The sequence below is a fragment of the Homo sapiens genome, chromosome 2 (assembly GCF_000001405.40).
Source record: "Homo sapiens chromosome 2, GRCh38.p14 Primary Assembly".
In the NCBI taxonomy this organism is placed as follows: Eukaryota; Metazoa; Chordata; class Mammalia; order Primates; family Hominidae; genus Homo; species Homo sapiens.
Window position 1 is genome coordinate 158,310,473 of NC_000002.12, and position 13,584 is coordinate 158,324,056.

General features: G+C 38.0%; 1 protein-coding gene across 2 annotated transcripts in view; it reads right to left on the reverse strand.

Moving 5' to 3' along the window:
- Positions 1-13,584, reverse strand: part of CCDC148 (coiled-coil domain containing 148) — a 285,681-nt gene that overhangs the window by 139,400 nt on the left and 132,697 nt on the right. For both annotated transcript variants that reach the window (NM_001301684.2, NM_138803.4), the window contains one exon: positions 3,284-3,422. In NM_001301684.2, coding sequence (NP_001288613.1) covers positions 3,284-3,422 — 139 coding nt within the window. The remainder of the gene's footprint in view (positions 1-3,283; positions 3,423-13,584) is intronic.

The following is a 13,584-nucleotide window of genomic DNA, read 5'->3' on the forward strand; positions in this document are numbered from 1 at the left end:
GGCTCCTCACTTCCCAGACGTGACGGCTGGGCAGAGGGGCCCCCCACCCCCCAGACGGGGCCGCCAGGTAGAGGCGCCCCCCACCTCCCAGACAGGGCGGCTGCCGGGCGGAGGGGCTCCTCACTTCTCAGACGGGGCGGCCAGGTAGAGGCGCTCCTCAGTTCCCAGACGGGGTCGTGGCCAGGCAGAGGCGCTCCTCACTTCCCAGATGGGGTGGCGGCCGGGCAGAGACACTCCTCACCTCCCAGACGGGGCGGCCGGGCAGAGGCACTCCTCACATCCCAGACAGGGCGGCCGGGCAGAGGCGATCCCCACATCCCAGACGATAGGCGGCCAGGCAGAGACGCTCCTCACTTCCTAGATGGGATGACGGCCAGGAAGAGGTGCTCCTCACTTCCCAGACTGGGTGGCCGGGCAGAGGGGCTCCTCACATCCCAGACGATGGGCGGCCGGGCAGAGACGCTCCTCACTTCTAGACAGTGTGGCGGCCGGGAAGAGGCGCTCTTCACTTCCCAGACTGGGCGGCCGGGCAGAGGGGCTCCTCACATCCCAGAAGACGGGTGGCCAGGCAGACGCTGCTCACTTCCTAGGCGGGGTGGTGGCCGGGCAGAGGCTGCAATCTCAGCACTTTGGGAGGCCAAGGCAGGCGGCTGGGAGGTGGAGGTTGTAGCGAGCGGAGATCACGCCACTGCACTCCAGCCTGGGCAACATTGAGCACTGAGTGAGCCAAACTCCGTCTGCAATCCCGGCACCTCGGGAGGCCGAGGTGGGCAGATCACTCGAGGTCAGGAGCTGGAGACCAGCCCGGCCAACACGGCGAAACCCCGTCTCCACCAAAAAATACAAGAACCAGTCAGGCGTGGCGGCGCGAGCCTGCAATCCCATGCACTCGGCAGGCTGAGGCAGGAGAATCAGGCAGGGAAGTTGCAGTGAGCCGAGATCGCGGCAGTACAGTCCAGCCTCGGCAACAGAGGGAGACTGTGGAAAGCGGGAGATGGAGACGAGGGAGAGGGGGAGACCGTGGAAAGCGGGAGACGGAGATGACGGAGAGGGAGAGGCAGAGGGAGGAGAGGGAGAGCTAAAACCACTTTCATTTCTAAATGGTAATGATTCTATGAGCAGAAAGCAATATTTTCCCTATATATAATTTTTTAAATACGCCATCTTTACATCAGTTTTGGTATTTTAACAATTACATCAAGGGTTTCAGTTAGACAAAATGCTAATAAACATAAAAATTGCTACCACAATCCTGAAAATTCACAATTTTACCTTTAATTACTGAAACATTCAGATGTTAGGATGCCTAAACTTAAAGTAATAATAACAATGACACTGAGCCCTTCCCATGCTATGCTCATGAGGGACATGGCATTTCCACATTGGCAGCAGTAGCTCCTTTTGGCAGTGAATCTCATCCATGGGAATTAGCAGTCTTGAGGGAAGAACAGGAATGGAGAGAACCTGAGTAGCCTGGAAAACCTCTGTGGGTCATTCTGAAATGCTCCTCAGAAAAACATGTGTCTTCCAAAATTGAGAGTCACTGATCTAAATAATTCTTTATTTTGCCAGTATAGACCATGACTCTGAATTTAATACATTATTTAACCCCCAGGAGTTGTGAGAAAAGCAGCTAGCAAATGGGATAAGGTATGTCCCACCTAAAATAATACTTTAGGTATAATTAGGTAAACAGTAAAACCACTTACTTGGTCTCACTTAAACTAAGTATCAGCTACTAAAATCTGTTCTGTAAACTTCTCAGCTTTGTTTTATAAAGCCAAAAATATACTTAACATCTTTCAAACATTAAGCATATACCACACAGAAATGGATGCTAATCAATCTAATGTAAGAAGTAAATGTATTGGGAGGCCGAGGTGAGCGGATCAGGAGGTCAAGAGATCGAGACCATCCTGGCCAACACGGTGAAACCCCGACTCTACTGAAAATACAAAAATTAGCTGGGCGTGGTAGCCTGCACCTGTAGTCCCAGCTACTCTGGAGGCTGAGGCAGGAGAATCGCTTGAACCCAGGAGGGGGAGGTTTCAGTGAGCCAAGATCGCACCACTGCACTCCAGCCTGGCGACAGTGAGAATCCATCTCAAAAAAAAAAAAAAAAAAACCAAAAAACAAAAAAGTAAATGTAAAAATCTTTATCATGATAATAATAGGAAAATATAAAAATCTTCAAGTTATAAATAACAACTTGTCACAGAAGCAACTAGAATCAATAGGGAACAAAAGGAAAGATCTAATTTAATAAATGAAAGTTATTTAAAAATCCAGAGTGAACTATTTATTATATAACAGGTATCTGTTACTGAATAAAGGGGGAGAGGTGAAGAGGATGAAAGAGGATGGGAGAAAATGGTCACAGTAGCTGTGTGACCTTTGCTTCAGTTTTTTCATCTAAGGATGGGAATAGTACTTCTCCCATCCACTCTTACATGTATTCAAGGAGTTTCCACGTGATTGATATATGGTTAACTTCTATATACATGTGAGTATTATTACTTGCTTAATTTAAAACAATTACAAAAATGCAGAGTATATAAGATGCTATAGCATGGCTCACTTAAAAATTAAAAGTCTGTGTGTTTGTTTACGTGTATGTTATAAGGTGAGTTATTGTGAAATTAACTGGTGACAGAGTAACTTCTGTTTTCTTGCCCTTGTGTTCTTGTTGACTAAAGAATGAAACAATAAAACAGTAATTTCCCAGTTCCTTTTTAGGAAAATATCAGTCACATCTTTGAGTTCTGTATTTGGGGTATTTGTGTTTCAGATCCAACTAGGAGGATCAAGCAGAGTTGTTGTGGTGGGGAAGAGATAAGTAAGTACCACCCCCAGGGCAAGTGCTGGCCTCCCTGTGACTAGAAAGACTGAGGTAGAGCAGGCTCTGTGAATGGTGGAGCAGGCATTTCACTTTCAGGCAAGACCTGGAGATGGTAAAGCCCCTGAAGGTGAGCATCTGGCTGTATGGACATCCAGGAGTCAAATACTAGCAGAGCAGCCCTGGGACCACAGTGAAGATCTCCGCAGCAAGTAGGCACAGAGAGTGACTTCTGCCCGAGGGGGCCCCCCACCTCGTTATGGACAGGACAAACTTGAAAAAATGACCTGCACAGGCTTTCAAACTATTATATAACCCTATTATTTTCTAGAGGGTAGGAAAAAAATAATTTTTAAAGAACCATTGAAAATACATGTACATTGCTTAATAATTATTGACTACTAAAACAATTTAACTTGCCAGTATGTAGGTAGGTCCAGTACTCACCAAATCATGCCTAGATTTGTGAGGAAAATATCTTTGTAACATGTCCAGATACAGAGTCCTTCTTCCAAAGAGATCTCCAGGGTACTGATCCAAAATAGCCTGGTAAATCCAGTGGTCTTCTTCACTTAGTTGACAGTTTCTAGAAGCAACAAAAATGTCACAACATATTATTGAGCAATCATGAAATTTGAGGGACTCAAACTGTTCAAGCTACTAGCAAGTGATAGTAACGAAGCAAAACGAGGTTTCTGTGTATTTTAAATACATTAGCCAAATTTAATGTCTGTTTCAGAAAAGCTTCTAAATTCTAATGCAATGGGTTCCTTCAGTTCTTTATTTGGTCTTGCCATGAGTATCAGGCACAATTCAATTAAGTTTGATGAGACATAGTATTTCAAAAATAAATTATTCTTGCCTAAAACAATATTTTAGAAATCATGACCAATGAATGAAATAAACATTGGAAAATAATTATATATACAGATTAAAAAGGAATTTTATTTATTCAACAAGGTTCCTATGTCTAAACTGGAGAAAAGTATAAATGTAGACAGTTAAATGAGCAATTATGTAACGGAAAATAAAGACAGACTGAGGAAGAGACTTATTTAAGGTTTGACTTCAAAAGAAAGTCTAAAATTATCTTTTACTTTATCTTCTTAGTGCTTCATAGAGGCAATACTAAATATTGATAGTGAAAAGATAACCAACGGCATTAAAACCACTGAAGAAATCATTTGCAAATAGGATCCCTTCAAGTCACCTTCCCAGTAACATATCCACTACGCTCCAAAAGGCCTTTTTCATTTCAGAACACTCCTAGGCACCATCCTGGTTTGCATTCTTTCTAGACTATTAGCAAAGTCTTGTGCAGAGTGAAAAGTTTGCAATATCAGTTTGAACACTAAACTGAATTAATATCTTTTTATATTCTGAGTTTATTTTGCATATCATTATTCCTGTTTAATAAATTAGAATAATCAAATACAAATGCAATCAGAGGGAATATTATTAGCAACAAATACTTCTTAATCCAAGAGGATACTTGTCATTGTTTATTTCTACTATATCAATGGTCTTATACTTTAAGTTAACTGTGCATTTCAAAGAATTTCTTATATATCTTCCATGCCCCTAAAAAATATTTGACAATTTAAAACAGAATAAAACACCTCTTAAATCAGTGACACTGATGGGAATTCCAATGTTCTCATACAAGATTATTATTCTGATAAGTAGCAAGAAAGAAAAATTCTTTTTCAAAGAAAAAAGTCCTATCTGTTTCATAATAGGGGGAAAAAAAGAGAGTTGGAGGTTCTACCAGGAAGAGGAATACTCTAAAGTTCTTCAGTATGACATAATAATTTATTGCAGAGAGAACTGGAAATGAATTCATTGAACACACCAAGTGTTTCAGTCCTGTCTGAAGCAGTTATGCACGTATAGACAAAGGCTTCTGCAAATAAAGCAGTACAAATAGGAGTATTAAGCCAGGAGAAAGGTTTGCCTGAGTAAACTTGGCATTTAAAACATCCTCAGGTTTTCATGGACAACATCTCAGGTCCTCTCTCAAGCAGCCCATCTTCATTCAGGTTAACATAAATGCATTTTAATAGCAGAGTTAGCCACATAAATTCTGCATTACCATACCACAAGCAACAAACAAAAAAATAGAACTAAAGTACATGTCTTCATTAATGTTTGTAAAATGTTTTTTTAATCAAAAGGACTTGAAAAAAGTTTGAATTTCCACCTTTATTTGATTATAAATGTGGATGTATGGGTAGTGTGTGCCCTGGGAAGGGGGAAGCAATAGAAGCTAGGTCCAACCAGTTCTCTGTTCCTCTAAATTGTGATTCACCTCTATAATGGATACTGTTGGTACCACACCCACATCGCCTTTATTAGATGGAATTCCCATCACCGAGATGCTGTGAGTCTTGGCAGATAACTCACAGATGCCCCTTCCTTCTCTGGAGAATTGCTATGGACCAACTAGGAGCTGCCTCTCCCACCCTCTTTAGAGAAGGCTACCCTCCCACCCTCTTTCAAAGGCCAACCATAACCAATGACTGACCTACCTGGAGGTACAGAAAGCCAGCCTACTTGCCTCCAGAGAGGATCAACTCTATGATACCTTTGCACTCTGGCCTTTCCCCATGGGAGCAAACCATGGCCAGTCTCCACTGACACTTTCTTGCTTACACATTTCCCTTCCTCTATTTGGCTTCCTTCACAGCCCTCCCTCTGAGAGCACCTCCCAACAAATCTCTTGTTTAGGAATCCCTGTCTCAGCTTTGTTTCAATAGAACCTACCCTAAGATAATCTACAAGCAATCTTACCCGTAATTTTCAAAAATAGTTTAAATCTTTTGGTAAATGGAGAAGTACTCCTAAATTAATTTCTTTGATGATATCTCATACTGAGTGGCAGTGCAAGATTGTGGCTGTCCTCAAAGAGAAAGTGAAAATGGCAAACATTTACAAAAATGCTTTCCAAATAGAAGCACACATTAAGCAGTGTACATTGCTATAAATAAATATAGCAGCAGAAGAATTTGTGGCACTCAGTGCATTTTTATACATTGCCTGAATGTATTAATTAGCTGCCATTTTAGTGACAATATTAAACCACTTAAACATATGAAATGATCATAAGACATTAAAGTCAGATATTTCAAAGCAAGCATGCCATGAACTGTCACCATATCCATTTTGACCTTCTTGTTGATTTTAGAAGCCTCACATCCCAACAGTTTTTTCCAGTTACCAAAATTACTCAAATTGCAAGTCACTTTTTAGTACATGTAGAATAAAAATTTAAAAAACATGCTTAAAGGAAATGATATATAAATACTCACAATATTATTATTTTTAGGTTATGTATTTATAGCAGTTTCCAGAGCTGCAGCCTTAAATATTGGAGCAAATATTCACATAGGCAGTAATAATGAAACAGCCCTGCATCTCCATTAGAATGCTGCATTTGAGGAAGGGAGAAATCTCCCTCAGCTACATACATACCCTACGTATATACTGAGCCTTTGAATAGTAAAAATCTAAGAATATTTAAACATAGTAGTCTCATCACAATAACAAAGTAGCCACTTCTGAGGAACATGCACTTTGAACTTCTAAAATAAAATCAGATTCAATATATTTGCATTTCCAAGTGTAAATGTGGACACTTTTTAAATCAAACCTTCATCTTTTTTGTATAGAAAAATCTATATCAAATAGCTGAAACTAAGGTTAGGTTTTACCTTTCAAAGTTCTTGTTGAATTCAACTGCTTTGCTGGTGATTCTAATGACAGAACTAGCTAAATTGCACAGACAGTGAAAAATATTCTCATCTCTTATCTACTTTCTGAATTTGAAAAATGACTCTACGTTAAAAGAAAATTTTAAAGAAAACTTTTAAAGTGTCCTAAGCTTTTTGCAATTTACAAAAAAAAATCTTTAGACAAAAAATCTTTAGCAGTTCTCTGCAATTTCTATTCCTTTTTGTCCGTCTAAACTTTCTAATTTAAAGTGCTTTAGAATGTTCATCTTTATCGTAGCCTGCCAAGATTTTACAATTTGTAAGTTTATTGAGTACTTTGAACACTTCAGGGAATTTCAGCCTACAAAAGGTGAGGTATTTACCATTCAATTCTCATTCACCATCCCCTGCCCCACAATATAGTATCGATCACAGATATCATTTTATTATGATTTCTCAGGAAGTGAGACAAAACAGATAATTCAGAAAACAACAACAGAGCTGTAAAAATTCACCCTGACCCAAGCCAATTGTCTCCCTAATTCTACCTGTTTGAATTATTCCAAAAATCCTAAAGTGACTCACAATTAACTTAGCTACTAGTGGTCCTCATAGCCATGTTTAAACCACTTTCCTTGGGTTCTGGTTCCGTGACATTCAAATACATTTAGGGGTGGAGGGCAGACAATGGTGCTAAACAGGACACATACAGGTAACAGATACTTTAACAACAGAAACAAGTTTATGAAACTAAACATTGTGGTTACAAACTGGCTGAAAGCTGTTTTATGTTTTCTCAGAGAAAGGGAGCTTTCCAGGCAAAATGGTAATTAGTGCCTCCTGAAGCTAGCTGATGCAATAGTGAACCTGACCTGAAGAAAAACTCATCTCTTAAAGCAGAACAGTGTTAGGGGACACCTACTGCTCCTTCACAGAGAAGTAGGAGTGCAGTGAGCCACCATTCAATTAATGTGGATGACAGACCATCCTCTTGTCTGGCTGCATCGGGTCTGACCCTCTGTAATATACAACTTGACTTCACCTTTCAATTTTTTCTTTCCAAGACAGAACCATCCAAACACCCAATCTAATCAGCCTGGTTTCTTCATCCACCAATGATCCCAGCCCAGGCCCACTGTCCAGATATAAATCTGTCTGATTTTCAGTCTGGTTTATAGGAGGCTCCCTGCTCCCAGACCCATTTCTGACCAACAGAATCTGATCTTCCCTGGGTATGCATCTTCTATTCCTCAGAGATCCATTCCCACCTCCACAGTCCCTGGCTCTACCAGTCTGGCTACTTAGCTGGAAGGTGACAACCAGAATAAAGTGAACTTTCACTAGCAAGGTCAAAATCCATTGAAACAAACAATTAAAAAAAAAGTGACCTATAGGATAAAGCCAAAACTTGTGCCAAATTCCAAAGCCTCATTCTTCTGAAGAATGATGAAAAGATAGCAGGGTTCTAAAAGTGATGGCTTTGGGAATCCGGTCAGAATAGGAGGCTAAGAGATTTATTTGGAAGTTGCATTTTCCAAATAGCAAGCATATTGCTTTTACTTAGATTTTTTTTTAGAGAAGTTTACATAGAAAGCTCATTTTTTTTTTTTACTTAGAATGTATATTTTTTGGAAGTAGAATAGTAGGGATGATGGCAAGCCTCTTAAACCACTCTTTGTCTCTGAAACATCCATCCAGCAGTAGTTTTCTAGTGGAAGTTTTAAAATAACATGACCGAGATAAAATAGCCTTTTACTGTTTTTTTTTTGGAGACAGGGTCTCGCTGTGTCACCCAGGCCAGTGTGCAGTGGCGTGATCATGGCTCATTGCAGCCTTGAACTCCTGGATTCAAGCAGTCCTTCTGCCTTAGCCTCCCACAGAGCTGGGACTACAGGCACTTGCCACCACACTCAGCTAATTTTTTATTTTCAGTAGAGATGGGGTCTTGTTCTGTTGCCTAGGCTGGTCTTCTTCTGAGCTCAAGCAATCCTCCCACCTCGGCCTCCCAAAGTGCTGGAATTACAGGCATAAGCCACAGCACCTCACCTAAAATAGCCTTTTAAAAGTAAGATGTAATTGCTCAACCACCCCATATGCTAAGTTTTTAATAATTACATTCATCATAAGAAGTGTAAGGAAAAGAAAACTGTAGCAGACATTGCTCCCACCCCTGCTCCTGCCCACCAGAATGCTGACTTTATTCAAGATCCACTCTCCTCCATCCACACTTGGCACTGCTTCAGGAAAAATGAGCCCCATCTCCAGCCCTGGCAGTGAATCTGGATTGATTTTCAGCTATTCACAAACACCCATTCACAAACTTCCTGTTTCTCCAACAAGTGTTTGGTAGGAACAGGGACAAAAGATCGAATTCTGGCCAATGAAATGTGAGGGGAAGTCCTCTGGGGCAAAGGTTTCCTAGCTCTTAAAAAGAGTCACAAAGAAAGAAGGAAGGTCCCTCTCTGCTTCTGGACATTGTTATGCAGAACTGTCTGGCAGGAAGTCATCTAAATTGCAAGAAGGCTGGGCAAGAGAATGCAGAACACCAGACCTCACTGTACTTGGACTTTTCTACCTCTAGACTTCTTGTTAAATAAGAAATTCCTTTATTATGTAAGTTACTTTGAGTTGGATTGGGTATTCTCTTATAGCTAAAGATAATTTGACAGCAAACTGAAAAAGAGAAACATGACTTTTTAAACATAGCATCTTAATATTGCTTTGGAAGAAAAGTACTATGAAAGGATGTAGAGATGAAAGAGATATAGACCCAACATGGGGAGAGACCAGCATCTAAAGTGATGAATACTCTGCAGCTGATTGTGGGCAGACCAATGATGTTCAACACCAAGGGCCATTTTTAAGACCAGAAAAACCCCCTCAAACTCAAATGAATAGAATCAGTGAAGACAAGATCATCTAGAAATACATTATTTGCTCTATGTTTTAAATCCTTATATTGAGCCAAAATCTGTCTCCATGTTACCATTTTATTCTTCATTTTTGGGGGGACAAGAACATTTTAAAGTGCAGTAAAGTTGAATTAAATAAAATTACCTTATATAGACATTATGACTCAATTTTCTAAGTCCAAAAGCAAGAGTAATAAAATTGGCCTACTTCTTTGGGACAGTATGAGGAAAATTTTAATTAGCCATCATAAGGTCTTCTGAAATTTTAATTGCCACATAAAATGTCATAATGTCATCTCAAACCAACCATAAGTAATCACTAAGAAATTATAAGAATGAATTAAAAGAGTGATGGTTCTTCTCAGTTTATTTTTTAGATATTAGCAATGTTCAACTTTATGTTTTCTGATAGGCACTAATACGGCAAATAAACATAAACCTGGGAATGGTGTAGTTATTCTTACATTACTTGTTCTCCATAGTGTTCGTTCTTATGGTTACCTCAAAAGATTATATTTTAACTGCAATTGGACTTCAAGGTACAAAGAATAGGGAAAAGTTGTTGTCATGAACAATTGGTTTGTTATATAAAATAGGTGTTAAAATTCTTCTCATGTTAAAATTTGACAATCTTGTCCATAGAAATTTTAATCTTGGCTTTGCATATAGCTACACATATTTTATTATTTTTACAATATATTCTTTCTGTATTATCCAATAACAAATGTCAGTTGTCCTAGACACAAACCCATCAAGCTGCTGTTTCCATTTTCTTCAATCATATTTATCCAAATTAATTTGATTTCACACCCAGTGAAGAATAGAAACCCCTTATAAATGATTTTCACCTCTTCATCATATAAAACCCAGATTTTTCAGTTTCCTGAAGTATTGAAAATGTAGCCTCATGCACCATTACATTGTGCAGTCACTAGCTAAAACAATTACATTAAAAAGGCAGGTGAAGCTGCAGTGATATTACTAATAAAGACTTAAACTAGGTATTTAAGCCGCTATTCTTAAATACCTAGATATACTTTTCACAAATACATAACATGCAAATAAATATAACTAAGCAAAGGTAAACTCTAAGACTAGTTTTTGAGGGTATCCTGCAGAAAGTGAACCCTTTTTTCCCTTGAAAAAAGGCACTCCACCATATCTAAGAGAATTTAAAATGTTTTATTCCCACGACAAACTCAAAGTAGGTTGAATAAACACCAAATGTGGTTTTTGGTGTTTAAAGGAAGAGTATAAAACCATAAAGTAGTTATTATGAATGATGTATTTTAAGAGACAGCTACTAAAGATATGTGACAAAAATAAAATCATGGTCCACACTATTACCCACTCCTTCCAAAAATATAAACCCCAACATCAAGTTGGACAAGAGAAAATGGGAGCTGCAGTGACCCAGGATGTTGGGTGAGGGGTCATCTAACCAACGAGACTACGTGAACACTGGAAGATAAGGTAATTACGCTGCTGTTTCTGGGAACTTCTCTCCTTATTAATCACCCTTGGCACACAACCAGCTCAGACTGGAAGTGCAGAACCTGAGACTGGACATGCCCAGGCACTGAAACTTTCCAACAGCTCTGAGAGTTCATTCTCAGAGAAAAATGCCACATGGGAATTAGGGCTCCAATGTTTTAACTTGTTGTCACCTCATCAAGTAAGCAAATGTCAGTTACCTATTATACCCCTTTCCCTCTCTTTCTTCTGTCTTGTATTCATCAAGCAACGGTCATATATGTAAGCATTTGTTTATTTCACATATTTTTAAAGACAATTATGTGAAGCCACACAGTGTTTCTTGAGTGTTGCCTTCTGATGCTGACTTTTATCCATCTCATCTTTATTAGCAATAGAGTTTATTTTGAAATATGGTTTATTTTGAAACAAGGGAAGAGTCAGGTTTATTATGAAAACTATGCATAGATTTCTCTTTTGGCAAAACTTTCACATAAGGACAGTGAAAGAGCTATGCTACACAAATAAATATTGAAAGAGAGAGAAAGAACATGAACGTGACACTGATGATATTCACACATGACGGCAATCTCCAATGCCCTGATCTCCAAGTACAGATGAACCAAATAATATAAAGTCTACTAATGAAAACATAAATTGTTTTTACTTGTCTGGAAGGCAATTTACCAATGCTACCAAAAGTCTTAGAATTTTTCATGCCCTTTGACTCAGCAGTTCTATTTCTAGGAGTTCATCTTAAGGGAATAATTATAGAACTACTCAAAATATGGTGACAAAATTGTCTATTCCAAGTTTTTAAAACAATTATCAAAATGTGGTAAAAATAATTGTCCAAAAATAGGAAATTGGTTAAATGTATGTGATACAGTCATACATTGTAATACTATCCATCTAATTTAAAAATATATTGTAAAATAATATTTAATACATGACCTAAATCATAGAAGCAGCTCAGTAACCATTTATTGAAAAAAGGAATGACACTGGATATGATTCAAAACAGGAAAAATCAGTAGATATGTGTATAGTTTTTTTTCATTTTTATAAACAACATTCATACATCTGAAATATATAAAATGTTACCAAAGGATATATCTGAGTGTTGGAAATTTAGATTAATTTTTAGTTTCTTCTCCAGTTTTCTAACTGTATTTTAAAAATTTTCTTTAACAAATAGAATTATTTCTGTATTAAGAGAAATATGCACAAAAGGAAAAGCTCATAGAGCACTAAATAGTTATCTTAAAAATTACTAATGAGTAGAATAAAGCTACTAACAAGTAGGGTAAATTCAAATAGTTTAGTTGAGAAAATATAAAACTATGGGCATCAGCAATGTACATACAGAGGAGAAAATTGTTAAATCATTGTGGGTTTTAAATAGCATTCAGAGTCAGATCTCGAATAATAATAGAATATTAATTATAAACTAACATTATAAAATTTAATATACCTATTAAACTATAAAGTAGAAATTACTTGCCATCATTCTTTAGCTTTTTCCACATATTGACTTCATATCTGACATAGCTAAATGGAGCATCAGACAATTATGTCTCATCTATATGGTTAATTCATCCAAATGTTAGGAAATTAAAGCCACAATCTCATCTGAGTCTCAAACAAGCAATTAAACTTGTCTTCATGTTACTGATGAAATACAGCCCAAATAGAATCTAAATAGCTTCACAAAAACACTGAATAAAGAAAGAGGTTCAATTGTAGTCAAATTGTTTTTAAAATGTGTTTCAGTAAAAGAGATCATCCTTTAAAGCTGTGCTGTCCAAGATGTTAGCCCCTAGCCACATGTGGCTTAAAAATGTGGCAGTCCAAATTAAGATGTGTTCTAAATATAAAATGCTGACCAGATTTCAAAGACTTCATATGAAAAAAGAGAATGTAAAATATCTCATTAATTGAAAAATATTGATTGTATGTTGAAATTATAATATTGTGGAACTATTGCATTAAATAAGACACACTTTAAAATAAATTTCACCTTGTTCTTTTTACATTTTTAATACAGCAACTTGAAACTTAAAATTACATATGTGCTCACATGTATAGCTTTTATCATATTTCTATGAAATGGCAACCTGTTTTACCAGCTGATACTGGTACTCAACCTGATTTACCAGCATCCTGGCATGTGTACATTCTTGAAGCAGTGTGGTAAGCGGGGAAAGCTCTCTATTCAGATGTGCAGAAGAGATGTAATCTTGCCCAACCATTTACCATGTCAGAGACTTTGGGGAAATTGCTCACCTTCCTTTGAGCTATAGTTTCTTCATCTGTAAAACAGAGCTTTTAAGATGGGGTAAACTGAGGGTTAAAATCATTTGTATTTATCAGATCATGTAATAGGTACTTATTAAATATCAATGGTCTCCTCTTCACCCTTTAACTTAGATTTTTAAAAACATGTATTTTTGCTTTAAAAAATAGAAAGTAAAAATATGCCAAAATTATGTCTAATTTCACCACCTGGGAATAACTTTTTTTTTTTTTTTTTTTTTTTTTTTGAGATAGGGTCTTACCCTGTTGCCCAGACTGGAGTGCCGTGGTGTGATCTCAGCTTGCCTCCCAGGCTCAAGCGATTCTTCTGCCTCAGGTTCCCAAGTAGCTGGGATTA